This window comes from Homo sapiens, chromosome 14, assembly GCF_000001405.40.
Source record: "Homo sapiens chromosome 14, GRCh38.p14 Primary Assembly".
Classification (NCBI taxonomy): Eukaryota; Metazoa; Chordata; class Mammalia; order Primates; family Hominidae; genus Homo; species Homo sapiens.
In genome coordinates this window covers 104,001,274-104,027,620 of record NC_000014.9, presented here as the reverse complement: position 1 = coordinate 104,027,620, position 26,347 = coordinate 104,001,274, and the positions used below count along the sequence as shown (strand labels likewise).

The following is a 26,347-nucleotide window of genomic DNA, read 5'->3' as shown; positions in this document are numbered from 1 at the left end:
AAATATGACTCTATATCCCATAAATATGTACAATGATTATGTGGCAACTAAAAAAGGAAAAAGAAGTGGCCTCTCAAACCTTTAAATCGTGAAAAATAACTCTAACACTGATTTTCAAAGAAACAGTTGAAAGAAGTTTTGAAATGCTTGAAATATTTGAAATATTTTATTAACTACTTCCATTAGGGAGATAAATCTTGGAATCCATTTTTAAAACTCCCCACATATATAGAACATTTTCAAATCTATCCTAAGAAGATAAAAAGCTGAATAGGAGGCTGGGTGCAGTGGCTCACACCTGGAAGTACTCTGGGAGGCTGAGGCAGGAGGATCCCTTAAGCCCAGGAGTTTGAGACCAACCTGGGCAACACAGGGAGACCCTATCTCTACTAAAAAATATGTTAAATAAATAAATAAATAATTTTTAAAAATAAGCTAAATAGGAGACAAACAAATACAATACTCACCAACAAAAACAATACCCAGCCACCATACTTTAGTCTCAGAGAAAGCTAGAAGACATTTAAATTGGTGCCACCAGTCTTAACACAAGTACAGCAAACCAAATGGTGAAGAGGAACACTGTCCGCCTCCTCCTATCTCAGGGTCCACAGAGGAAGGAAAGCCTGCCCCGTTCTCTCTCACACAAACGCGTGCTCCAGCAACGGCGAAAGCACACACCTTGGACTCGTAGGACTCCTCCGTGAGCTCGGCATAGCCCTGCTGGATGAGGACGTCTCTTATGTTGATGGCATCCTGGACCCCTGAGTACTGGTACACATCCACGTGCAGGACGCTGTGCACCACAGAGAAGACCTTCACAAGGAGGGTGCAGCCGCTCACCAGAGAGGCGAACCACTGGCTGGCCCCGTCACTCCAGTGCTTGCCACAAACAAGAGACTTTGCTGATGGTCTCATTTTGCAAATCTTAAATTCCAAAGCCTACAAGGACAGAAGGGCACAGCTCAAACAGCTTTATAAATAAGCAAAACACTCATCCCAAATACCACTGAAAACAGACCTTGTTCATGTACCTTCAATAATATTCTCATAAAAGTCCCAATAAAACTAATGTTGGGGTAGTGAGAATTTCCTAAAGAAACTTGGTTTGCTTTTTAACAACAATAAGAAATATTTAGAATAATTTTTAGATTGTCTTCATACTGATGGTAAGGGCATGTGTGACTATGTCTGTGGCCTACCTAAAAAGTCTGTCTGGTTTCAACATAACCAGAAAACTCAGAAACAGTATTAGAAGATACTACTGGATTAAAACAACTTTTTTTGCTAAATCTGAATCCTTTCATGTATTTTTGGAAGAGCAGAAACCAAATTTGGCTATTGTGACAAAGCAAGTCCCTCCCTGTCCTGGGCCTTGGCTCCCCTAGCTGTAAGCCGAGGCAGGGCACCATATGACCCAGGAATCCACCCAGGAATCCTGTCCAGCATGCAGCATTCATTCCCTAGAGTCTTCTCTACCTTACCTGGAAAGGAAGTTCAAGAAATTGACAGGGAATCTCCATCAAAAGATGTAGATCTACATGAGACTTATTGCCATAATCTACAAAGAATACCTAGAAAATAAAGCAAGTATACACTTTACGACGGGGTCAAAAACAATGCCCTACCTGAGCAATAGCAATGCAGCAGTCTGCTCTAATCCTATAATTATAGAATTCTTGGAGTGACCTGAGCTTAAATCCACATATCAATGAGGGAAACAGACTACTTTGCTAACTGCAATTATTTTAATTTCCACCTACAATTATAAAAGATATTTGATAAACTGCTGTACGTCTGTCTGTCTCATTTCCCTTCCAGTGACTTGTTACAGAAAAACCTACCTCAGCAGAATTTCCAGAAACATAAAGGACTTGAGCTCTAAAGTAGCGTTGTTTATCAAAATCAGCAAAAGGTGCCAGACAGACCAAGTCTGGATGTGGGTGAGTGGGCAAGGGCACCAGCGTCAGTTGGTTGATTTCAGCAGTAAGCTTTTTCAGAATCTCTGAGTTGTTTTCATCAATCCTGTATCCCCAAAAGTGTCCCACTTCAACCACCTAAAAAGGAAGAGGAGGAGAAGAGATGAAATCTAGAAAGGACTTTTGTAAGGAGGAAAATGAGCTTGAATCATAGGGCTGACACCCTGTGCTGTACGACACCTCACCAGCGTTAATCCTCGGAACATAAGTATTTACAGGTTTTTAACAGGTGTTTATGAGACAAAAAGAGGGGGTCCCCTGGTGAACTAAGGTAAGGAAATGTGTGGAATATATCCTTTTCTTGGCGGTACAAGACTCATTCTTACATAAATAAAGGTTCTGAGGTCATATAAGCATTTCGGCGGGGCACAGTGGCTCACGCCTGTAATGCCAGCACTTTGGGAGGCAGAGGTGGGCAGATCACTAGAGATTAGGAGTTCGAGACCAGCCTGGCCAATGTGGTAAAACCCCGTCTCTACCAAAAGCACAAAAATTACCCGGGCATGGTGGCACACACCTGTAATCCCAGCTACTCAGGAGGCTGAGGCAGGGGAATCGCTTGAACCCAGAAGGCAGAGGTTGCAGTGAACAGAGATCGTGCCACTGCACTCCAGCCTGGGCAACACAGCAAGACTTTGTTTCAAAAATATACACACTTTTTTTTCCTCTAACATGTATCTTGTTAAATCTGATTTATTTCAGCATTTTAAATGTACTTGATATTTTAAAAATTAACTTTGATTCTAGAATAAGTATGTTTCAATTTCCATTTTAGTCATATTTCAATTTAACAAGTAGAGTGATAATTCAAACTCACCCACATTAACAAGATTACCAAGGTGCACAAGTTCTGTGTGTGTGTGTGTGTGTGTGTGTGTGTGTGTGTGTGTGTAAACTTCCTGTATACAACATGATGATTTTAGATTAAGAAGAAGGAAAAGCTCAATTACTTCATCCTTACCTCTGTGACATCAATAGTTAGAAGGAGATCTGTAACTGTCTGGGACCTGTCTGATGTGTTAAAGGAGACTTGCATAGGATCTACCGTCTGCTTCTGGAAGTCCACATTCACCCTACATAATACGAATTTTTATTAAAATAAAAATCAAGTTTTACAAAGAAAACACATTTACATATGTGAAATTATCACTTGAACTATTCTAATATTTCTACAAGAAAAGAACATTTCAATAAAATACCTAAGCCAGAGATGACAAATTTGATTTCATCTCAAACATGAATTTCTGCTGGCTTTTTGAAGAGCTCTGGAAGGGGTACACATCCCAAAAATTATATACTACCCTCCAAGTAGTATATAATTGTGAAGGCCAAGACTCTCAGAGAATATCTACTTTCAAGGTATTATCAAGATAAATAAATTATCAATTTAGACTTTCAAGGTCTGAGATTTAGAATTATCTGCAGTGTTTCCTAACTTGTGTTTTCAAATGTGCACCTTGACCTTTAGAAAACTATAAGAATCCACGCTTGGCTCAATGCTATGTTAGAAAACACACACATGACTTTCCAATAAACCCCAAAAATATCATTTTCCCTTAAAGGCAATAAGATAGTAAATGCTAAACTTCTGGAATACAAAAGACAAATTTGACAGAAAATAAAAATTTCCTAATACTTTATTCTAAAATGAAGAGAAAGAATTATAAGAAAGATCTTGATCCAACTCTTTTCCCAATCTCCAGACCTATTTTTAATGAGTGACTCAGGCAATGAGTGACTCCCCAGCATTCGATTACAAAAGTAAGTGGAGTCTGACCTCACTAGAGCAGGACAGGCCTTCTCTACATGAAGGACTGAACCCACTACACTCCCAAACTCTCAGAAACCAAAAGTCACACACTGGGTGAAACCAGATGGAACAGATTTGCCTTCCTCCACCAACTCCTCAGATTCCTGTTAAGTTCCTCCCAGAACTGAAAACTCTACAATTAAGAAATAATAAATGAGACTTCCCACATAGGTGACTATGGGGATATGGCCAAAAGGCAAGCAGTCTGTCACAAATACCATGGGTGACTCAGTTTGGTCCAAGAGAAGAAGATCCACCAGGGTTATGACAGCTGCATGCAGCAAGTGCTCCTGCCCTGGGCTGACCAGCCCTACAGACAGCCCTGGCCCTGTACCACTCTCTGGGCGGGAGGGAAAGATGCCATTTGGCAAGGAAGGGCAGCTTACACTGGTAAGCAACTAGGTGCTCCCAGCTGCATCTCCATTATGTCCCACTGACTGCTGTGTTGAAGACAAAAAATATTCCACATTACTTAAAAAGAGAATTTGCAAAACAAAATGCATAATCCTATCTAGGAAGACAGGAAATTAACATTAGATTTAATCCCTACTATTTAACTAAAAATTACATCAATGATATCACTCAATCCTCTCAACAGCCTTACACCATAGGTATCCTTTTTTTTTTTTTTTTTTTTTTTTTTTTTTGAGACGGAGTCTCGCTCTGTCGCCCAGGGTGGAGTGCAGTGGCGTGATCTCAGCTCATCACTGCAACCTCTGCCTCCTGGGTTTAATTGATTGTCCTGCATCAGCCTTCCACATAGCTGGGATTATAGGTGCCCGCCACCACACCCGGCTAATTTTTTTGTATTTTTGGTAGAGACGGGGTTTCACCATGTCGGCCAGGCTCGTTTTGAACTCCTGACCTCAAGTGATCCTCCCGCCTCGGTCTCCCAAAATGCAAGGATTACAGGCATGAGCCACCTCACCCGGCTGGTATCATTTCTATTAAACAGAAAAAAAACTGAGGTTCAGAGAGGTTAGGTAATGTGCCCAAGTGCACACAGTGAGGAGATGATGCAACCAGGATTCAACAGCAGCTCCACTCAACCACAAAGCCAGTGCTTTTTTATTTATTTATTTATTTATTTATTTATTTATTTTTTAAGACAGCGTCTTGTTCTGTCGCCCAGGCTGGAGTGCAGTGGTGCAATCTCGGCTGACTGTAACCTCCGCCTCCTGGGTTCAAGCAATTCTCCTGCCTCAGCCTCCCGAGTAGGTGGGATTAAAGGTGTGTGCGACCATGCCCGGCTAATTTTTGTATTGTCAGTACAGACAGGGTTTCATCATGTTGGCGAGGCTGGTCTCAAACTCCTGGGCTCAAGTGATCTGCCTGCCTCGGCCTCGCAAAGTGCTGGATGAGTGGCGTGAGCCCCCACACCCAGCCAAGCCAGTGCTTTTACCATGATCTGAAGCAATGCCAGATCAACGGTCATGTAAAAATAGCACCTGAGAATGTGAAAGCAGGCACGGCCTGTCTGCCACCTCCCTCCCGAAAATACCTTGTGTTCCTGAGCTTTGAGACGTTCATGCCTTGCACCTTCCCTTCAATTTCCTCTGCAGAATGAACGCTGAGTTCAAGTGAAACTTTTAGTTGAGACATCTTAATTGCCATATATACTGCAGGAAGGGTTTTAAATCTCTCTGTTGGATTTCGTGAGAATTCCACAAAGGCTCTGTTCCACAAATGTAAATTTAAAAATAAATTTATCAGGCATCTGTTTAAAAACTGCATATTCATTTCTCTCAAGACAGAAATTCTGTCACATCTCTCCTCAAAATGCCAGTAACTCTTCAATTTATAATTAATCAATAACATGTATTAATTTCTCCAATGGAAAATTATTAATTGAAGAGAAATAAAAGTTATAATGACATGTCATTAAACCAAAACCAAGTATCATCCTTGTATAATATAATGCAGAATAAACACTAAAGTCACATGGAATTTGGGGCAAAGAAATCTTACTTCATAATTACTTTCATAATTGCAAAAGAATTTTCATGATTATAACAGAATGTCTTTCTTTACTATCATAAAATAAAACAGATACAGAAAACCACACAAATGTATATAGCTCAGTGATCTTTGTAATTCCCCTTCAAAAAAAGCATTAAATTTATTTTTATTTATTTATTTATTTTTTTGAGATGGAGTCTCGCTCTGTCGCCAGTGCAGGGATGTCATCTTGGCTCACTGCAACCTCCGCCTCCCAGATTCAAGAGATTCTCCTGCTTCAGCCTCCCGAGTAGCTGGGACTGCAGGCGTGTGCCACCACGTCCAGCTAATTTTTGTATTTTTAGTAGAGACAGGGTTTCACCATGTTGGCCCGGATGGTCTCAATCTCCTTACCTCATGATCTGCCCATCTCAGCCTCCCAAAGTGCTGAGATTACAGGACTGAGCCACAGCGCCTGGGCCAAAACCATTGATTGCCAAGTGATATAAATTGATTGCCAAGTGATATAAATTGATTGCCAAGTGATATGGTTTAGATCTGTGTCCCTGCCCAAATCTCATGTCGAATTGTAATCTCCAATATTGGAGGAGGGGCCTGGTGGGAGGTGACCGGATTGTGAGCGCGATTTCCCCCTTGCTGTTCTTGTGAGTTCTCACGAGATCTGGTTGTTTACAAGCACCTCCCCTTTGCTCTCTTCCTTTCGCTCCAGCCATGTAAGAAATGCCAGCTTCCCTTTGCCTTTCACCATGATTGTAAGTTTCCTGAGGCCTCCCCAGAAGCAGCAGCCTATACAGCCTGCAGAACCATGAGCCAATTAAACCTCTTTTCTTTATAAATTACCCAGTTTCAGGTATTTCTTTATAGCACCGAGAGAACAGAATAAAACACCAAGTAATATTGATAAATGCCCTCTCTTGCCCCAGCCCATATTTCGGTGTCCCATTCCAGCCCCACTCTGGGGCATGAGGAGCAGGCATGGAGCAAAAGGTGCCTGCTGGATGTGCCAGGCAGAAGGAAGACAGCATCAAGTTTACCTTGCTATGCATGCAAGTTCTAATGCCCCTGGGTCCCCACATCATCACAGAGCCACAAAAACAGACCTGGGCCCCTTCCTCTACTATAAAAATCGTCCTGTAATGAGCTCTCTCCTGGAAATGTACACCTTGAGCAGTTTGGAAAGACGCCCAGCAGGGGAGGTGTGTGGAGCAGGTACATGAATCAACCCTGACCCGCTCCGCCTCCTCCGCTCTCCTTCACGCCCCATCCTCTTCACTCATAAATGCACGCATTTTCCTTCCACCCACTGCCTGATTCATGCCCTTCTGCTTTATCTCCCTTCTTTAGAGTCTCTCCTAAGACTCCGTAGAAGTAATTTTAAACTCCAGACCTCAGCGTCTTCTCCTCGAAGCTGCATCCTCCCCAGCATCCAGGCTGGAAAGCCGGATGCTCTTGGGCTCCTCTCACTTCTTTGCCCCCCACATGCAATCACCAGGCAAATCCAAGACATCCTCCTTCCCGTCTGTTGGCTCCTTTTCATGTCCAACAGCACCATACTGGCTGCACATCTCAGTACCTCTGCTTTGGACTACTGCAAAGACTCCAGGCCGGCTTCTACTCCTCTTACCTTGACCTTCCGCTTATCCCTGAGTAAGTTCCATAAAACACAGTTCCGGACAGACCACTCAAAGGTCTCCAAGTGCCCACCTAGTCATGTTCACACTCATCAGTCTGCCAGAAGACTGTCTCAAAGTCAGCACCTGACCTCCACAAAACAGACTCCATCTGACACGGAGCAGCTCTGCCCAAACGGCTACCAGCTATGTGTGCACAGTCTCAGCTTTCCCCTGTCAAGATCAGCTAATGACTGCCTCCTGCTGGAAAACCACCTGACCCTACTGCACCACCTCTGCACTGGCCACTGCACCAGCCCGAGGCCTCACAACCCTCCGACGTCTACCCGAGGAAGTCTCAAATTAATGTTACTGCTCTAATATTGGGCCTCAGATAGAATGTCTTCTTCTGACCTTCTAGGCCTTTCCCATGACATCTCACAGCAGGCAAATGTCTGTGAAACTAATTTGACTCTCCACTCCTACCACGAAGTTGAAAGCTTCTTATGGGAGAACATGATATGCCCAGGTACCACCTGTGCCCATCTGCCCATGCGCCCTTGGCACCTCACAGAGTCTACATGAAGTCACCCCTGCTCTATGCCAAAAGAAATACACTTCTTATTCTTTCAATCACTGTAACTTCCTTTGCCTTTAAATACTTGAATCCCAAGAACTGGTACTGGTACAGAAAGAATACTGTTACTTCCCCCAAAAAATTGGTATGACATTTGTATTATGACTTGAGAGCTGGAAATATGAGGAATGCAAAAGATATAAACACCTATAAAAAAGGTCCCAGGCAATGGGAGGCGGAGGTTGCAGTGAGCCGAGATTGTGCCACTGCACTCCAGCCTGATGACAGAGCAAGACTCTGTCTCAAAAATAAATAAATAAAAATAATAAAACAAAAAAAAGTCCCAGGCAAGAAGAACAGGCAACAAACACAGAACCCAATCCAGTTGTAAAGAAGAGGGAACAAAGATGCTGCAATCTTCTGGGAGCCAAGCCTTCTGACCACTCAAATCAGTCAAAGGAGCATCCATGCAGAACTGGAAGCTCACCCAGGTAAGCAGACGCACACTATTCAGGAATGAGTTTAGCTGTGTGATTCCAGCTTTAAGTAAGTTACTTTATATATGTGACTAAGAATCTTACTATAATTTACATCAGAATATTTAAGAAAAGTTCAGACACTACAAGTTTAATTAATTCTCTAAGAGTTGTTCAAAGCACTTAGGAAGGTTTTGCTTATTAGGGAGTTGTGTGTTTGCCTCATGAAGCATTTACAGGCCTACAAAGAAAATCAATATATTAATCATAGAAATGGAACTTAAAATGCCGGAGGGAATTACCCCAAATTGAAAATGGACTTAATGTTCAACTTGAGTGAACTGGACATTAAAGAAAAAGTGTTTGTTCTTATTTACAAAGCTTTGTAAAGTTAAATAAAAATTTATACAACATTCACAGAACACTGGAAAAAATTTCTAACTTTAAAAATTAAAAATCCTACTTTAGGCTTTTTGGTACATAAACATTTCCTGTTAGAAATAAAAACTCAGTGATGCTCCAAAACACACATTTGTTCCTTACATGCAGTAAGTAGAGCCAAATTGAGTTTTTACAATGTTTGCCTTCCAAAAATATTCAAAACATATCTGCTTTAGACAACTATAAGCAGATACACTCTATTTTGGATCACCTTCATGGCCCACAAAATAACTCTTACTAATGACTCACTGAGAAAATCTCAGACCAGTGCGTGAAAGTGAAGATCACTTTAAGAGAATCCGCCTTAGCATCACACTGAGTTACTGAGCCTTCTTGGAGTGACCATGCTTGACCACTAACCAGCAGCTTAGTTCCTTTAGGAGGTCACTTAGCAGAAAGAGAAGACAAATTGCTTCTGACCATAAGATAAACCAAAGCTACATTCTGAAAGCCAATTGCAGCAGCCCATAGGAGGACCCATTTCCATGGGCACTCCGTTTTAACAATCAGCGTCTGGAAACATTTGAATCATTATGCCTCCTTCATAATTGCAGTTGATTACAAAAATATACTTACTTTGCACCATCAAATACAATGGATTTGACTTGACCACACTGTCTAAAGAGAGACTGTAGTTGTTTATAGTAAAGAAATCCATAGGGAGGAATGTGTTTCAACTGTAAAATATAACACAAAATCAGAGCAGATTACTAGAGCTAACAAAATAGTTTCAACATTCACAAGCTCAAAGCTGCTGCACACTGTTTTAGTTTCTAAAAACATAGTTTACTATCTTTAACCATAATATATAAACTCTACAGATCAGTGCATTTAAAGACTTTTAAATTCTAACTAAGTTCTATAATAAATATGTTAAATAAAGGCTAATTCTAACCCTGTTAAAATGGTGTAAGTCTAATACAGCAAAATTAAGATTTGTTTACTTCTGTTTTCCCTTAAAATAATCAAGCTTACTAAATACTTCTTTTCAAAACATATTTCTACATAAGGAATAATGGGAATGTAAACTTTAAAGGAAAATGTCTAACTAATGAGAGGAATATGTATTTCCTCATCACCACAGTGGAAAGACCAAATAGCACATGATCAAATTGGCAGTGACTTTTAATGTATAAACTCTCAAGGTACCATGCTGGGTTTCTGCAAAGCACTCCATACTTTCTTCTGGACCAGGACAACTCCTGTGCCAGCGCAGCTCTGCACGGGGCTCCGTGACAGAAGGCATGTAAGTGAAGGCATGGGCTGGGGCTCAGATCCAGTTAGATCCTGTCTCCTCACTCCCTGAATCCGCGTGTCTCCTTAGGCAAGTTACAGAGTTACCCTGAGACCCAACTGCCACATCATGAAATAAGAATGACATGAGAAATCCCCAACTCAAAGGGTGGAGTGAGGCTCAGAGAAGAATGAAAAGTACCTAACACACAGCCTCTCAAGTGCTAAGTAAAGCCAGCTATTATTGAGCTTTTATGATGTACACACTAGGTAATTTTGGGCCCCCAGACTAGGCTCTCTGTGGTCGAGGGATGCAGGCATAGCTACTAGACGTCTGAGGAAGAGACCTATAGAACCCTTCCTCTTGCGCACAGCTGAGGGAAGAAAACCACGAAGGGGCAGAGGGGTGAGAGAGGAAGCCAAGCAAAGAGCTTAGTCAAACCTGATGGCCAGCAGGAGCAGAGGTGCCAATCAAATGATCCTCAGTAGCTATAAAAAACTAATGACTTCCTTTTAAAGTCCCTTCCACGGGTATCAAGTGTATCTCAGCTGCCTCTCTCATCTCCAGAGCACCAGCTCCTTTTGGTGCTCATCAAAGACCTCCAGTTGTAATCTCAAGTCATCTGCGCCCTTTCCTTATGAGCTATTTATTTCTTCAGGACTAACAGTGGTGGTGTAACAATAACCAGGATAAAATCTGGCAATGACTGAGCCCTTACGATATGACACGAAGGAACTTCAAGCGCTTCTCACCCCGCCTTATCAGATACAGGCACATACTGGAACCAAGTGATCCAAAACAGTCCAGTCTCAGCTTTCTTCCAGTGTGAGTCTCCCTGCTGCTGGGCTTTAAACAACTGGGTTGCAAACGCTGATTCAATGGTCAGGGCCTGTGGCTGATCATTAGATATGCCCAAAGTACACACTACTTGAATGCTGATTTCTAGGGCATACTTTCTAGCTCAGATCTCGCAGAGCCTTCAGATCTGAATTTCAACGAATATAAATAAAATAAGCACTCTCCAGGTAGTTCTGTTGGGCATCCAGGTCGGGGGGTCACTGGCTTAAGCCACAGCACTCAGCTGCCAACCAATAACATTTTATTTTGTATGAAATGAAGTTGTGAATTAAGAAAATGTTCTTAAACTTGTAAGTGCCTTAAATCCTTCAAAATAGCACATGATCAAATCAGCATTGACCTTGAACGTATAAACTCTCAAGGCTTCCTTATAAGGCCAGGTCTGTAAAAGGAGGCAAGAGACTGAGGGACAAGTAGATACACATGAAAAGGCCAAACAAGCCTAGATACACCTGAAAAGGCCAAACAAGCCTAATATTCACGCCAGGGGAAAATTCACTTAGGACTCACAAGAATAGAAACAATTAGAGAACAAAAATGTTCTGCCCCACCACACCCCAGAGAGGACGGCCTGCCCCCAGCACCTACCACGACAGTTGTCTTGGGGTCCTTGCCAGCCAGCTCCCTCACCGCCATCTCCTCATCCGGCTGTCCAAAAGTAAAGTAATTTGGATAGAAAGCACCTGCCAATACAACCTGAAAAAGAAATTTATTTTCATGAAGTAACAGCATTATTTTATCAGTTATTCTCACCAATATACTAATCTCAACCCAGCATGATATGACATCCATAAATGTAAAAGATGGTTATCGTTTGTATGGAAAACTAGACCTTTCACCAACCAAGCAGAAAGTCACAATTCTGGTAATTTCATCTAACAGAAACACTAAAAAATAAACACTTTTTTCACCTAACAGAAACATCTTTCTTCAAAAGAGCTTGAGTACTTCTCAGAATGAGGCTTGGGAAACAGTGGCAAGTTGAACAAGGACATAAACCATCCTACACACAAAGCCCCAAGGTCGGCCAACTTTCTCCACTTCTCCCCACACACATCTATGTGCAAGGTACTCTCAGATGTTCAGATAAAACTCCAATTGGAGCACTCAGATTTAGGGCAGCAGGCTGGCATCCACTATTCACCTCTAAAATGCACTCTGCAAAGAGTCCCTTCTTCAATAAAAACATACCAGTTTGAAACACACCCACCAAAGACTCCCCCAGCCTTAGAGCAATTTTACATCCAGGAAAACACTCGCACATTTCCAGCACACCCGGTTTATAGGCATCTACCTCAAACCTGATTCCGTATGCATCAGCCAACCCTTCTAGGAAACCCTACAGCAGAGGCAGTCTCCACTGGCCAGGACACACTTCTCACTCGCTACATTCCAGCTAACTACTAGTAATTTGAATCCATGGCCTCCAAAGTTAAAATAATATTTTCAGTGTAGGGGAATAGCTATATACACTGAACGATATAAAGAGCACTTCACTTTCTTAAAAGCTAAAACAAAAGGATCTCTCCTGAAGCAGTGATAACACAGGTACTCTATAGAAACACTCCCCTGGAAATTAGAAATGGGTCTGAATCCATTAAATATTAATAAATAAACAATAAATACTCTCTAGGTGAATCATCAACTCAACAAATAATGCAAACTATGAAAGAAGAATGTTTCCTGGTTCCCAAACGCAGTATGAACACTATGGACCTAAAATCTCCTTTGAGGTTTGGTTTGTATCAGAAAGCAGGAATAAGCAGTTTCTCGACCACAAGACCTTGTAAGCAGAAAGAATCAGGAAAAAAAATATCCAGGAAACTTCAGCACACCTGTAGGATGAATCGCTGCTTATATATATACTCTTGGTCCATGACAGGTCGCCGAGAATCAACATGCATGTTGAACTGTGAGATTCTAGTCTTCAATTCTTCATATAATTCAGCCACCTAAGAAAAATACATTGAAATCTGATGTCTCAAAGGTACATATGTCATCAGAGCAGTGAAAACACTAGAAAATAAGTGCACAACGGGTAAAGTATAAACACAGCTACAGAATGAAACACTGCAGCTAATTAAGAATCATCTTTTGGCTGTGCACGGTGACTCACACCTCTAATCCCAGCACTTTGGGAGGCCAAGGTTGGGAGATCACTTGAACTCAGGAGTTTGAAACCAGCCCGGGCAACATGGCGAAACCCAGTCTCTACAAAAAAAATACAAAGTTAGCTGGGCGTGGTGGCGCAGACCTGTAGTCCCAGCTACTTGGGAGGCTGAGATGGGAGGATCACCTGAGACTGGAGGGCAGCGGTTGCAGTGAGCCAAGATTGTGTCACTGTACTACAGCCTGGGTGGCAGAGTAAGATTCTGTCTCCAAAAAAAAAAAGAAATAATCTCTTAAAAATTTTTATTATTATTATCTTTTTTTTTTTTTTTTTTTGAGACAGTCTCGCTCTGTTGTCCAGGCTGGAGTGCAGTGGCGCGATCACAGCTTGGTTCACTGCAAGCTCTGCCTCCGAGGTTCACGCCATTCTCCTGCTTCAGCTTCCCGAGTAGCTGGGCCTACAGGTACCCACCACCACGCCCAGCTAATTTTTTGTATTTTTAGTAGAGACAGGGTTTCACCGTGTTAGCCAGGATGGTCTCAATCTCCTGACCTCATGATCCGCCTGCCTCGGCCCCCCAAGGTGCTGGGATGACAGGCGTGAGCCACCATGCCTGGCCTAAAATTTATTTTTAGAGGCAAGATCTTGCTATATTGCCCAGGCTAGACAGTGCAGTGGCTATTCACAGGCACAATCCCACACGGATCAACACAGGAGTTTTGACCTGCTCCAACTTGGCTGGTTCACCCCTCCTTAGGCAACACAGTGGTCCCTGGCTCCCAAGAGGTTACCACATCAGTGTTGCGTTTAATGCAACACCCAATCAGCATGGCGCACTACAGCCCAGAACTCCTACGCTCAAGTGATCCTCCAGCCTCAGCCTCCCAAACAACCGGCAATACAGGCGTGTGCCACCATGCCTGGCAAGAATCATCTTCTTAGAAATTAATTAATAAGTAATGTTAAGGATGAACAATATAACACTTAGAGAAAATACCAGAATACAAAATCATATATGCTCCCTGATCTGTTTATAAACACACACCCCTGAGATGGGAACCAATGCAAACGCATAACTGTGCCCACCCAGAGGTCAGAATAGCAGAGAGCCATGACCACAGCCTTGCTTTAGATCCTTGAAACACGTCCCAGCCTCTGCCATGAACATGTACGGCTTTTGTGATTAAAAACAAAGTAAGTGACCTATGGCCAAATAGTCCCTCCGAACAGGAAAATAAAATCAATATCCAGTTGTAATAAAAACTGTTTCACACAAAATGTCAAACTTTAATGTACACACATGAAAATACACAACTCCAAATACCTATGAACTGATCATAAATTAAGTCACCACAAAAGTATCTCAATTACAAAAAGAATACAGTCACAAGTGTGAACATAACTGGGGGGAATAACAACTAAAAAGAATTGAAAGGACAGAAAAACTCAGCAGCCACTATCTCTGTGGAGGGAGGAAAAGCCTGGGACATGGGAAGCAAGGGAGAGCACACTCAGATGCTCGCCTCTGTACCCCTGAGGGATGGAACTGTTTCATGTGACTGTAATCACATGTAAGTGAACTAAGTAAAAACCAAGACTATGCCACTCTCTATACTAAAATGCAATAAAATCAGAAATGAACAACAACAAAAAGATATTTAAAAACATTTCAGGGCTGGGCACGGTGGTTCACACCTCTCAGAGCTTTAGGAGGCTGAGGCAGGAGGATTGCTTAAGCACAGGAGTTTGAGGCTGCAGTGAGCTATGGTTATGCCACTGCATTCCAGTCTGGGAGACAAAGACCCTGTCTCTAAAAAATAAAAATAAACTCTTTAGTCAGAGAGGAAACCAACACTAAAAGAAATTATAGACAGGAATGTCAAAAATCAATAGGATGTGGTGGCTAAAGCTGCTCATAATAAAATTCATAGCTTTAAATGCTTTTAATTAGAAAGACTGAAAATATTATTATTAATAATAAATACTAATTTCAGAAAGACTGAAGTAAACTAAAAGTCAAAGGAGAACTAAATTAATGGAAAAAAAAAAAAAGCAATGATTTAGAATCCCACACCTACTCCTTCCCTCCCAAAAAACATACACAAGAAAACTGACAAATGAAACTAAGAGTAAGCTCTCTGAAAATACAATAACACAAAGGAAGCATCTTGCAGACTCTGCAGTAAAGGAGTAATCCAGCAGGCCTGGCTGTCCAGACCATGCACATTCCAGAGAAAGGCTTGGCCCTGGCCCAGCTCCTGAAAGGTCATTGCCAAGCCTCCAGGGACTCTTACCCTCCTGGATAAGAGTATGCATGCTGACCTGGGGCCTTGGGCCACACAAAAGAGTTCACGCTAGAATATGATTGACGGTGGGGCCTTGGGCCATGAGGGTAACAGTTTCCTCTGGAGGGACTGAAGACTGAGTAACTAAAGTCAGTCACATGGGTACTCTAGGCCTACATAACCAGTGCTCAATAAAAACCCAGGACACCAAGGCTCAGGTGAGCTTCCTGGTTGCAATACTTCATGCCTGTCATCGCACACTGTTGCTGAGAGAATTAATCACTGTCCATAAGACTCTACTGGGAAAGGACACCTGGTAGCCTGCACCTGGTCTCTCCAGGGCTCCTCCCATGCACTTTTTTTTTTTAACCTTTGCTGATTTTAATCCATATCCTTTGGCTAAAATAAATCATAAGCATAAGCATAACAGCTTTTCTACTTCTGTGAGTCCTTCTAGCCAATCAGTGAACCTGAGGATGGTCTTGGGGACTCCCTGAATATACAAATATAATCAAGAAACAATGAGAGTACACAAATACACAACAATAAGAACAAGAAAGGTGTTACCAGTTGACATGAATTTGAAATTAAGAAAATTACGTGTAACTATACATCAATAAACTTCATGATCTGGATTAAATGGGTACCTGAATGAAAAAACGTAACTCATCAAAAATGACTCCAGAAGAATTAGAATCCAGAATGGATCAGTAACTACCAGGGGTATTGAAATTTTTTTTAAAATTGATCCCTCAAAAAGGCACTAATCCCAAAGGTGTTTTTGAATGTGTTCTATCAAATATGTAAGAAATACATTTCTAGTTATTAAACTGTTGATTAAAATGGTTCCTGGGTACAGAAAGATGTTCATCCTACCAGGGTGGTATCAATAACAACATCTCATAGTATTGTGCATGCATGTGCGCACACATGCACACACACACACGTAAACCAGAGGCCAATTTCACTTATAAATATAGAGGCAAAAATTCTAGAGAAAATATTGGCAATCAGAACCGAGCAATGTTTTGGGAGAAAACATTACAAACAAGCAGAGTTTATTCTAAGAACACGTGGCTGGGTCAACAGTGGGAAATCCATCATGTATTCATGTATAAGTCATGCACCACATAGCAGTGTCTCAGTTGACCATGGACACGTATAGAACTGTGGACCCATAAGACCGTCACAGAGCTAGAAAATTCCTGTTGCCTGGTCACGTCATAGCTGTTGTAGGGCAACACGTTTACTCACGTGTCTGCAGTGATGCTGGTGTAAACAAACCTACTGTGCTGCCAATCATATGAAAGTCTAGCACATACAACACATACAGTACATTTCAGTTCACCCCTGAACAACATGGGGTTGAACAGCGAGGGCCCACTTATATGCAGGTTTTTCTCAACCAAATGTGGATCAAAAATACAGTATTCGAGGGATGCAAGCCCGAGTATATGGAAGGCCGACTATTCACATGGGCGCCACAGGGCCAACTGTAAGACTTGAGTATTCGTGAATTTTGGTATACAGGGGTCCTGAAACCAACCCTCCAGTGAATACCAAGGGATGACTGTACTTGATAATGATAGTAACTATGTTACTGGCTTATGGATTTATCATACTATACCATCATTATTTCAGAGTATATACTCCTATTTTTTTTTTAAATTAACTTCACATGTCTTGAAAGAAGTAGCAAAAAAAAAAAAAAAGGAAACAAACAAAGTTAATTATAAAACAGTCTCAGGCAGGTATCCTTCAGGAGGTATCCAGGAGAAGGCACTATTATACTGTAAGAGATGATAGCTCCATGTGTTACTGCCCCTGATGACCTTCCAGTGGACAAGATGTGGAGGCGGAAGACAGTGATACTGATGATCCTGACTCTGTGTACGCCTAGGCTAATGTGTATGTGTGTCTTAGTTTTTAACAAAAAAGTTTAACAAATAAAAATTATTTTTTAAAATAGATAAAACCAGTCTGGGCTACAAAGTGACACCCTGTCTCTACAAAAAAATAAAAGAATAAAAAAAATTAGGACAGGCACAGTGGCTCACACCTGTAATCCCAACACTTTGAGAGGCCAAGGCAGGCAGATCACAAGGTCAGGAGTTCAAGACCAGCCTGGCCAACATGGTGAAACCCTGTCTCTACTAAAAATACAAAAAAGTAGCCAAGCGTGGTGACGCACACCTGTAATCCCAGCTACTCGGGAGGCTGAGGCAGGAGAATTGTTTGAACCCGGGAGGCAGAGGTTACAGTGAGCCGAGACTGTGCCATTGCACTCCACCCTGGGTGACAGGGCAAGACTCCATCTCAAAAAAAAAAAAAAAAGAAAGAAAGAAAAAACAAATTACGAGTGGTGACATATGCCTGTAGTTCCAGCTACTGCAGAGGCTGAGGCAGGAGAATTGCTTGAGCCCAGGAAGTCAAGGCTTCTATGAGCTGTGATCATGCCATTGCACTCCAGCCTGGGCAACAGAGTGAGATCCTAGCTCAAAAACCAAATAAATAAGGAAATAGATAAAAACTTATAGAATAAGGATATAAAGAAAGAAAATATTTTTGCATAGCTGTACAATGTTTGTGTTTTAAGCTAAGTGTTAATATGAGCCAAAAATTTTTTTTAATTAAAAAGTTTATCAAGTTAAAAAAAGTTATATTAAGCTACAATTAATTTTTTAAAAATTTTTATGAACTTAGTGTAGCCCAAGTCTGCACTGTTTATAGTCTACAGTCATGTGCAGTGGTGTCCTGGGCCTTCACATTCCCTCACCACTCACTCACTGACTCACCCAGAACCACTTCCAGTCCTGCAATCTGCATTCACCATAAGCTCCCTATATTGGTATGCCATTTTTATCTTTTATACCAGTGATCCCTAACCTTTTTAGCACCAGGGACCAGTTTCATGAAAGACAATTTTCCCACAGGCCGGAGTAGATGGGGATGGTTTCAGGATGAAACTGCTCCACCTGAGATCTGGTATTAGTTATATTCTCAAAAGGAGAATATGGCCCAGGTGTTGGGAAACCCTGTTTTATAACCATATTTTTACCGCACCTTTTCTATGTTTAGTTATGTTTAGGTACAGAAATACTTACCATTTTGTTGTAATTGCCTACAGTGTTCAATACAGTCACATGCTGTACAGGTTTGCAGCCTAGAAGCCATAGGCTACACTATACAGCCTAGGCGTGTAGTGGGCCATACCATCTAGGTCTGTGTAAGTATGTTCTATGCTGTTTGCACAAGGATAAAACCATGTAATTACTCATTTCTCAGAATGTATTCCTGTCATTAAGCAATGTAAGATTGTATTAGTGGGTAAAAAATTAAAATACCATATGTTTATCTTTTTCTTTTTCAAGACAGGCTCTCGCTCTGTCACCCAGGCTAGAATATATTGGTGCGATCACGGCTCACTGAAGCCTCTGCCTCCCAGGCTCATGCAAACCTCTCACCTCAGCTTTCCCAGAAGCTGGGACTACAGGTGTGAGCCACGACACCCAATCTCTTTATCCTGACATATACTGAAAAGACATACAACAAGATGACACAACCATTCCTCATTAAAGTATACATAGGGGAAATACATTCCTTAACTGGAAAAGGAGTATTTATTAGAAACCCAAGTAGTTCTACTGAAAGGTGAAAACACAAGAGACACTCCTACTAAAGCTGGAAACAGGCAGGAAATACACTTCTTGGAATACTCATTACTACCCACGTACTTAATAAATATTGTTGTCATTTAATAAATATTTCATAAGTCAACTTTATTTGCATCCATTTGGTCAAAAAACTTAACTTACCTCTCTAATTCTCTTGATTTGAATGTAATTTAACCGTCCCCAATTAAGTTCATCCTTTAAATATATAAAAGCAGAATACTCAATATTAAGGTAATAAATTAGAGCTGAATTTAGCTACTTTAATACATATTTCATCCAAAAATTTAATGATGAATGTAAATTACTGAGCTACTCAAGTTGACAGTGGCACTCCCTCTCCAGGTACATCCAATTTTACATTGAAGCCAGAGAGCGTAATACTCAACCATAAACACAATACAGAAACTCTTCTGAGTTCACCTGTCTCAAAAATTAAAGGTAGACATAACTTGATTATCTTGAAAAAAGATGTCTGACAAATTATATACCAACAAGAAAAATACTACAGCTGAGCCTTTAAAAGACTTTAAGCCAGGCGCGGTGGTTCACGCCTGTAATCCCACCACTTTGGGAGGCCGAGGCGGGCAGATCACAAGGTCAGGAGATCGAGACCACCCTAGCTAACACAGTGAAACCCCATCTCTACTAAAAAATACAAAAAAAGTAGCTGGGTGTGGTGGCGGGCACCTGTGGTCCCAGCTGCTCGGGAGGCTGAAGCAGGAGAATGGTGTTAGCCCAGGAGACAGAGCTTGCAGTGAGCCAAGATCGTGCCACTGCACTCCAGCCTGGGCGACAGACCGAGACTCCGTCTCAAAAAAAAAAAAGACTTTAAACACCTAACTCATATATGTATTGGTAGAGATATATCTAAGCACAGCAAATCTCCACACAGAAACGGCAGACCTGTAAACAGTCTGTTGAACCAAATAAGTTTAGAAGAACAGCAAAGCCTGACCAAAAAAAAAAAACAATAAAATGGAGGGTAACAGATTACATTTCTTTTAAGCCCGTTATCTAAAAGAGCTGAAAACAGAAACAGCAGCCACATGGCCCTCAATTTTGAACTGACACGTCCAACCCAGTACCCACAGCTATGAAATACAGCCAAAGAGGCTGCAGACACCATGGCAAGATCAGTACAATGTGGAGCCATGAAACAAGCAGCACAGCTCCAGCACAGGCCTGAGAGCAAGCGGCCTCCCGAGAAGCGATGGAAGCAAAAGGACCAGTCTGCGGAGATTATGGCCTGCCACTCTTGGGACAGCCGTGCGAGCACTGACAGTGACCTCGACTCCAGCCGCAGGTGGCACCGTCATGATTCACACGCTATGACTGTACCAAGACAGAGTCCTTCTCTCATTACTCCCAGCCATCTAGAAAGCAGCAGGAAAGGGCTCACCAACCTTCGGGTACCGCAGCTCCCCTGTCTGTCTGCAAGCCTTCCATGTCTGAAAATAAAGGATCCAAACTTTCAAAATAATGTGTTGGCTCACTGAATTTTTTTTAAGTACAATTTCAACAAACCTGAAAATTTACAACATAAAAATTTACAAATTTAATTTTTTCAATCAATTTCATAAAATTGGACTTCCACCTCACTCACTTCTTCCAGCACGGTTAATTTAACACTGGACACCAATAACCCTGATAATACTTTCACTAGATAAAACATTGTCTGTCTCTACCTCATATGTTTGTGGTATGAAAATGTACTAACAATCTGTGGTAGCTGCTTTCATGGTTTACACAACAGAAAACTTACTTTAAATGCCTCAACAAGTGCAATACAGTCACTCTTGCTACTGCCAGAGAAATTCACTTTGTTCCTATAAACAGATAACAGTGTCATTCAATACCATTAAAATACAGTGACACTTTAAAATATGAATGTTCAGTACCTATATCCATCGAGATGCTGCCGGAAAGGCATTGCAAAAAAATTCTTCAAAGAAAGAGCTGCCGCTAACCATAAAAAATAAACAAGAAGAATGTAAGATTGTGAGAGTGGTGTTATATAAACTTCCCATTAGCATTTATTTGTTCTCACACTTACCTATAATAAGACATTCATCTAGACATCCAAATACATGTCCAAGGACTATGAGTTTACCAAGTTGCTGATTTACAGGAAGTTGGGCTAAAACTCTTCCTAAGAAGGTCAATTCACCATCATGGGGGTTTTCATCTTCTCTCTGCCCACTCACTGCAAGTGCTCCAACCTTTATAAAATAAAATTAGTGTTATTATCAAGCACTGACTTACTCATACTTCTTCCCCTTAAGGTGGAGAGTCCAAAACAGGAAACAAAGACCTAATTTTGGTGAATAACATTCTAAGTCAATTTATGAAAGGTTGATATGTTACCAAAAAAAACTTTTTAAATTTTCCCTTGAAACTTAGAACACATTTTACTTTTTTTTTAAAAGTATGATCCTGGGAGGTAACACTAAAGGACTTTCACAGAATTCTACTCACCTCACTCTTGAACAAATATGGCATGCACAGTACTAAGTGAAGGATCTCCCAGCTGTCACTGTCAACAAAACCTTACTGAACTATGTATGGGGAAAAACTTCCTTAACTTGACACAGTGTATTTCATAGAAACCCAAGGAGGTATCATATTTAAAGGCAGCCAAGTGTGGTGGCTCACACCTCAGTCTCAGCTACTTGGGAGGCCACAGTGGGAGGGTCACTTGAGCCCAGTGTTTGAGGCTGCAGTAAGCCATGATTGCATCACTGCGCTCCAGCCTAGGCAACAGAGCAAGACCCAGTTAATCAATCAATCAATCATAATAAAGAAGGTAAAACACCAGAAGCATCCTCAACTTCGAAGGTCAGAAGCAGAACGTCCACAGCCCCAGCACAGTATGTACACTAGGATACAGCTTGTACCAAGGCCTCGGTTACAAGTTCAAAGAGCAGAGTATGAGTCAGGTGTGCAGTCAAAGAATCCCAAGTAGGAAGAGCAGGGTTTCCAGGAATGGATGAAGCAAGCCAGAAGGAGGCTGAGGAACAGAGTTAGCGGGAAAGTGAGGCAGGAGGAACAGAGTTAGCGGGAAAGTGAGGCAGGAGGAACAGAGTTAGCGGGAAAGTGAGGCGGGAGGATCAGAGTTAGTGGGAAAGTGAGGCACAGACTGAGGGAGCCACAGTAGAACACAGCTCTACAGATGCCAACAGTACTAACCAGCAGGCAGTCCTACCTCCTTTAGTAGAAGGATGGTGCGCTCAATGTCACTCAGACCAGGCGGGGAAAGGGCAGTGGCCAGCAGAGCTCTCGGCTCACCCATGTCAAGTAATTTCACTTTCAAGATCGTGCTTCCTAATGGACAACGCTGAAAAGAAACAAGCCTGAGATTAGAAATAATAACATAACTAAATCAGTTAGCCGATTCACATAACCAGTGCTTCAGAGGGAAAGAGGAGGAGAGAAGGAGAGGAGAGAAGAAAGAAAAATGGAGAGGATTGAGGGAGGGAGAGAAGAGAAGGGAGAGAGAAGAAGAAAGAACAGGAGAGAAAGAGATGGAAAAATAAAAAGATGGGGAGAGAGAAGGAAGAAAAAAGAGAAGGAAAAGAGGGACTGAAAAGTGGGAGAGCAAGAAAGCAGGGAGAGGGAAAGAAGAAAAAAAAGAAGGAGGACAAAGGAAGGGGAGAGACACAGAAAAGAGGAAGGAAAAAAAGCTGATCCCACAATTACTCATTATAAAGGGACATAGAAAACAGCAGCATTTAAAGACAATCCTATTATAGAGCCCATAGATACCAGAAAACATCCTCTCATTAAAACTGTAAAATGTGGGTAACGCCCTAGACAGTAGCCTGATGTGTAATCAATAGTGAGCCCAGATTGTGAGTGAGGGGGAATGTGGCAAGACAAGGATTTTTCTGGAATCAAAATTAGATGACACTAGAAATTATATCACTTAGACTATTTGGCAAAACTATCTACAAAAAATTAACTTTGACACTTTGGGAGGCCAAGGCGGGCGGATCACGAGGTCAGGAGTTCGAGATCAGTCTGGCCAACACAGTGAAACCCTGTCTCTACTAAAAATACAAAAAATTAGCTGGGCGTGGTGGTGTGTGCCTGTAATCCCAGCTACTTGGGAGGCTGAGGCAGCAGAATCGCGTAAACCCGGGAGGCAGATTGCAGTGAGCCAAGATCATGCCAGTGCACTCCAGTCCAGACAACAGTGCAAGACTCCGTCTCATAAATAAATAAATAAATAAATAAATAAATAAATAAACTTTGACAATGACCAAAGTGAATTACCAACATCTCAGGAACAACATGATCAGGGATGGAGTTGTCCCAGAAATCCTTGTGTACCAGCCGGTAACAGTACCCTCTAGACACTCGTCCAGCACGGCCTTCAAAGGAGAGATGTGCAAACAGTGTTTGGCATTAATTACTTTAACATCAGCATGAAGGTATCTTTTTAAACAGTCATTAAATATTAATTAAGCAAAGCCTTAAGTATCTTCCACCAGACTATGTCAGTAAAAACTTTAGAATACATTAGTGTATTCTTAATAAGTTATTATTTTAAACATTATTCTAAATAAGAATGACTATCCTAAAAAATTAGAATAAATAGAACAAGACTAAATGCTGACTTCTATTCAGTGACCAATATTATAAAATCCAATGCATATTTCTGAAGAAAACAACCTTGGCCCAATATGCAACAGAAACCAAGTACACCCTTCTTGAAAATGCACAGTACATAACAGAAAGTCACGAGGTTGGCGACAGGCCCTACAATGCCATCGAGGAGCTGTCTCAGCACCCTGTGCTTCCCACAGCTCCTTGCCCCACTGCAAAGCACCCTCCCAGCTGTCAGCCACACCGCATTACGTGACCGAGTGAGGAACAAGCAGAAGGTTCAGAACCAAGGCTGGCCCACAGAGACCATGACACAAACTACTACTCTCTTGTGACTCTATCACCTATGAAGTAGCAACTCTTTTATCCTAACACATAATAAAATAGTCCAAGGAGAGAGAGTGAAGGGAGGGGTAGGAGGGAGTCTTAAAATGCAGCTTTAAAAGAAATGGGGCAACCCAAAAAGCATTCTTTCCCCACCTATGGGGATCTAGATCCTAACAAAAGATATCTATCTAGAAGGGTGAAGGCCTCTTGGCAATGTTTTCTTTAACCTATGATGTAGGTCAAGAGGGGTGAACCAATGTTTTGTTTCTGACTGATTATGGATTAACAAAGGTACTATTAAAATTTTTTATCTAAATCTACCCTTTGTCTTTTGTTTATTAAGGCATAAGATAGATGCTAAAACAGACCAAGTTGTCTTTTTCTCCTACTAATAAAAATAAAAAATCCCAACATAAAGAGGTCCCCGCTACTCTAACCCTTATAAAAAAATAACTTAAAGTCCTTGTTCCCACCTGACAAAACTCACTGTCTCAATCTCTTGGCTCAAGAGATTGAGCCAATCTCAATCTCTTCCCAGGGAGATCTGAGACCAAATAAACACATTTACAATGGTGACAAAGTGACATCAATGCCTAAGGTTTTGGTCAACCTCTTAATCTTGACAGGTTGACCAAAAGGGAAAGTTGTTAAATTAAGTTTAGCCTACACCTGTAATCCCAGCACTTTGGGAGGCCGAGGCGGGCAGATCACGAGGTAAAGAGATGGAGACCATCCTGGCCAACATGGTGAAACCCTGTCTCTACTAAAAATACAAAAATTAGACAGGCATAGGGGTGCGCGCCTGTAGTCCCAGCTACCTGGGAGGCTGAAGCAGAGAACTGCTTGAACCTGGGAGGTGGAGACTGCAGTGAGCCGAGATCACGCCACTGCACTCCAGCCTGGCAATAGATCAAGACTCTGTCTCAAAAAGAAAAAAAAAAAAGAAAAGAAAAGAAAAAAGGTTAGCCTAAAGATGCCTCCTTACATATTTTAAGTTCAGCCTAAAAGTCTCTCTGCATATAGTAAACTATAACCTAACTAGATATGTAAAAAGACTATAACCCACTCTTATGCCAATCACCGGGTTTCAGCCAATCAAAGGCAACCAACTGCTCAAACCACATTCAAAGAGGACCAATGCCCAGGTGTAGTCAATTCGGCCATTTCTGTACCTCACTTCCATTTTCTACACGTCACTTTCCTTTTTCTGTTCATAAATCTTCCTTGACCACGCAACAGCACCAGAGTCTCTCTAAACCTCTTCCAGTTCAGGGGCAGACCAATTTGCAAATTGTTCTTTAAAACTCTGTTAAATTTAATTTGTCTAAAATTTTTTTCTTTTTTTTTTTTTTTTTTTTGAAACAGCATCTCACTCTGTCACCCAGGCTGGAGTGCAGTGGCGCAATCATGGCTCAACTGCATTGACCTCCCAGGCTCAATCTATCCTCCCACCTCACCCTACTGAGTAGCTGGGAGTACAGGCGCATGCCATCATGGTTGACTAATTTTTGTATTTTTTATAGAGATAGGGTTTTGCCATGTTGCCCAAGCTGATCTCAAACTCCTGGGCTCAAGCAGTCTGCCCACCTCACCCTCCCAAAGTGCTGGGATTACAGGCATGAGCCACTGTGTCTGGCCAAAATTTTTCTTTTAACAGTGGTGCTGGCAAAGATACGGAAAAAACAGATCTCACACATTGCTCATGGAATGTAAAATGACACAGCCACCATGGAAAGAGTTTACAGTAGTTCCTTATAAAACTAAACATAGGCCGGGCACAGTGGCTCATGCCTGTAATCCCAGCACTTTGGGAAGCCTAGGCAGGCAGATCACGAGGTCAAGAGATGGAGACCGTCCTGGCCAACATGGTGAAACCCCATCTCTACTAAAAATACAAAAATTAGCTGGGCGTGGTGGGGCATGCCTGTAGTCCCAGCTACTCGGGAGGCTGAGGCAGGAGAATTGCTTAAACCCAGAAGGTGAAGGTTGCAGTGAGCCGAGATCACGTCGTTGCACTCCAGCCCAGCGACAGAGTGAGACTCCGTGTCAAAACAAAACAAAAGAAACTAAACATAGATTTACCACATGACCCAGTAACTATATTCTTGGGTTTTTATACCAGAGAAATGAAAACTTATGGCCACACAAAAACCTGTACATGAATATTCACAGCTGTTTTATTTACACGGCAAGAATTGGAAAAACCTCAAATGTCCTTAAACAGGTAAATGTTCAGTGGAGTACTACTTAGTAATAAAAAGGAATGAGCCACTGCTACGTGCAGCTTGTATTGGCTTAGATGGCTCCTAAGAACACTATGGTAAGTGGAAAAAGCTAATTTCAAAAGGTTACATACTGTATGATTCCATTTATCTAACATCCCGGAAATTACGAAGCTGCAG

General features: G+C 41.7%; 1 protein-coding gene and 1 pseudogene across 12 annotated transcripts in view, besides 1 other annotated feature; both read right to left on the bottom strand.

Moving 5' to 3' along the window:
• The window catches only part of TDRD9 (tudor domain containing 9), a 124,212-nt gene that overhangs the window by 25,047 nt on the left and 72,818 nt on the right, over positions 1-26,347 (bottom strand). For 11 of the 12 annotated variants that reach the window (XM_006720019.4, NM_153046.3, XM_005267309.5 and 8 more), the window contains 15 exons: positions 23,286-23,383; positions 22,216-22,347; positions 21,067-21,232; positions 20,912-20,975; positions 20,776-20,839; positions 20,417-20,461; positions 19,155-19,208; positions 12,780-12,896; positions 11,533-11,640; positions 9,429-9,529; positions 5,291-5,464; positions 2,941-3,052; positions 1,845-2,057; positions 1,485-1,574; positions 682-942 (listed from right to left, as the gene is read on the bottom strand). In XM_006720019.4, coding sequence (XP_006720082.1) covers positions 682-942; positions 1,485-1,574; positions 1,845-2,057; positions 2,941-3,052; positions 5,291-5,464; positions 9,429-9,529; positions 11,533-11,640; positions 12,780-12,896; positions 19,155-19,208; positions 20,417-20,461; positions 20,776-20,839; positions 20,912-20,975; positions 21,067-21,232; positions 22,216-22,347; positions 23,286-23,383 — 1,799 coding nt within the window. The remainder of the gene's footprint in view (positions 1-681; positions 943-1,484; positions 1,575-1,844; positions 2,058-2,940; positions 3,053-5,290; positions 5,465-9,428; positions 9,530-11,532; positions 11,641-12,779; positions 12,897-19,154; positions 19,209-20,416; positions 20,462-20,775; positions 20,840-20,911; positions 20,976-21,066; positions 21,233-22,215; positions 22,348-23,285; positions 23,384-26,347) is intronic. The other variant, XM_011536400.3, reaches the window with a different exon arrangement.
• Positions 9,525-10,724: an enhancer, noted in NCBI's record as "BRD4-independent group 4 enhancer chr14:104483234-104484433 (GRCh37/hg19 assembly coordinates)". NCBI's record gives its function as "activates an origin of replication core promoter dependent on BRD2, P300/CBP, MED14 and CDK7 cofactors, and independent of BRD4, by STARR-seq in HCT116 cells {active_cell/tissue: HCT116}" and the evidence as "EXISTENCE:reporter gene assay evidence [ECO:0000049][PMID:35650434]".
• Positions 13,688-13,979, bottom strand: RN7SL634P (RNA, 7SL, cytoplasmic 634, pseudogene; annotated as a pseudogene).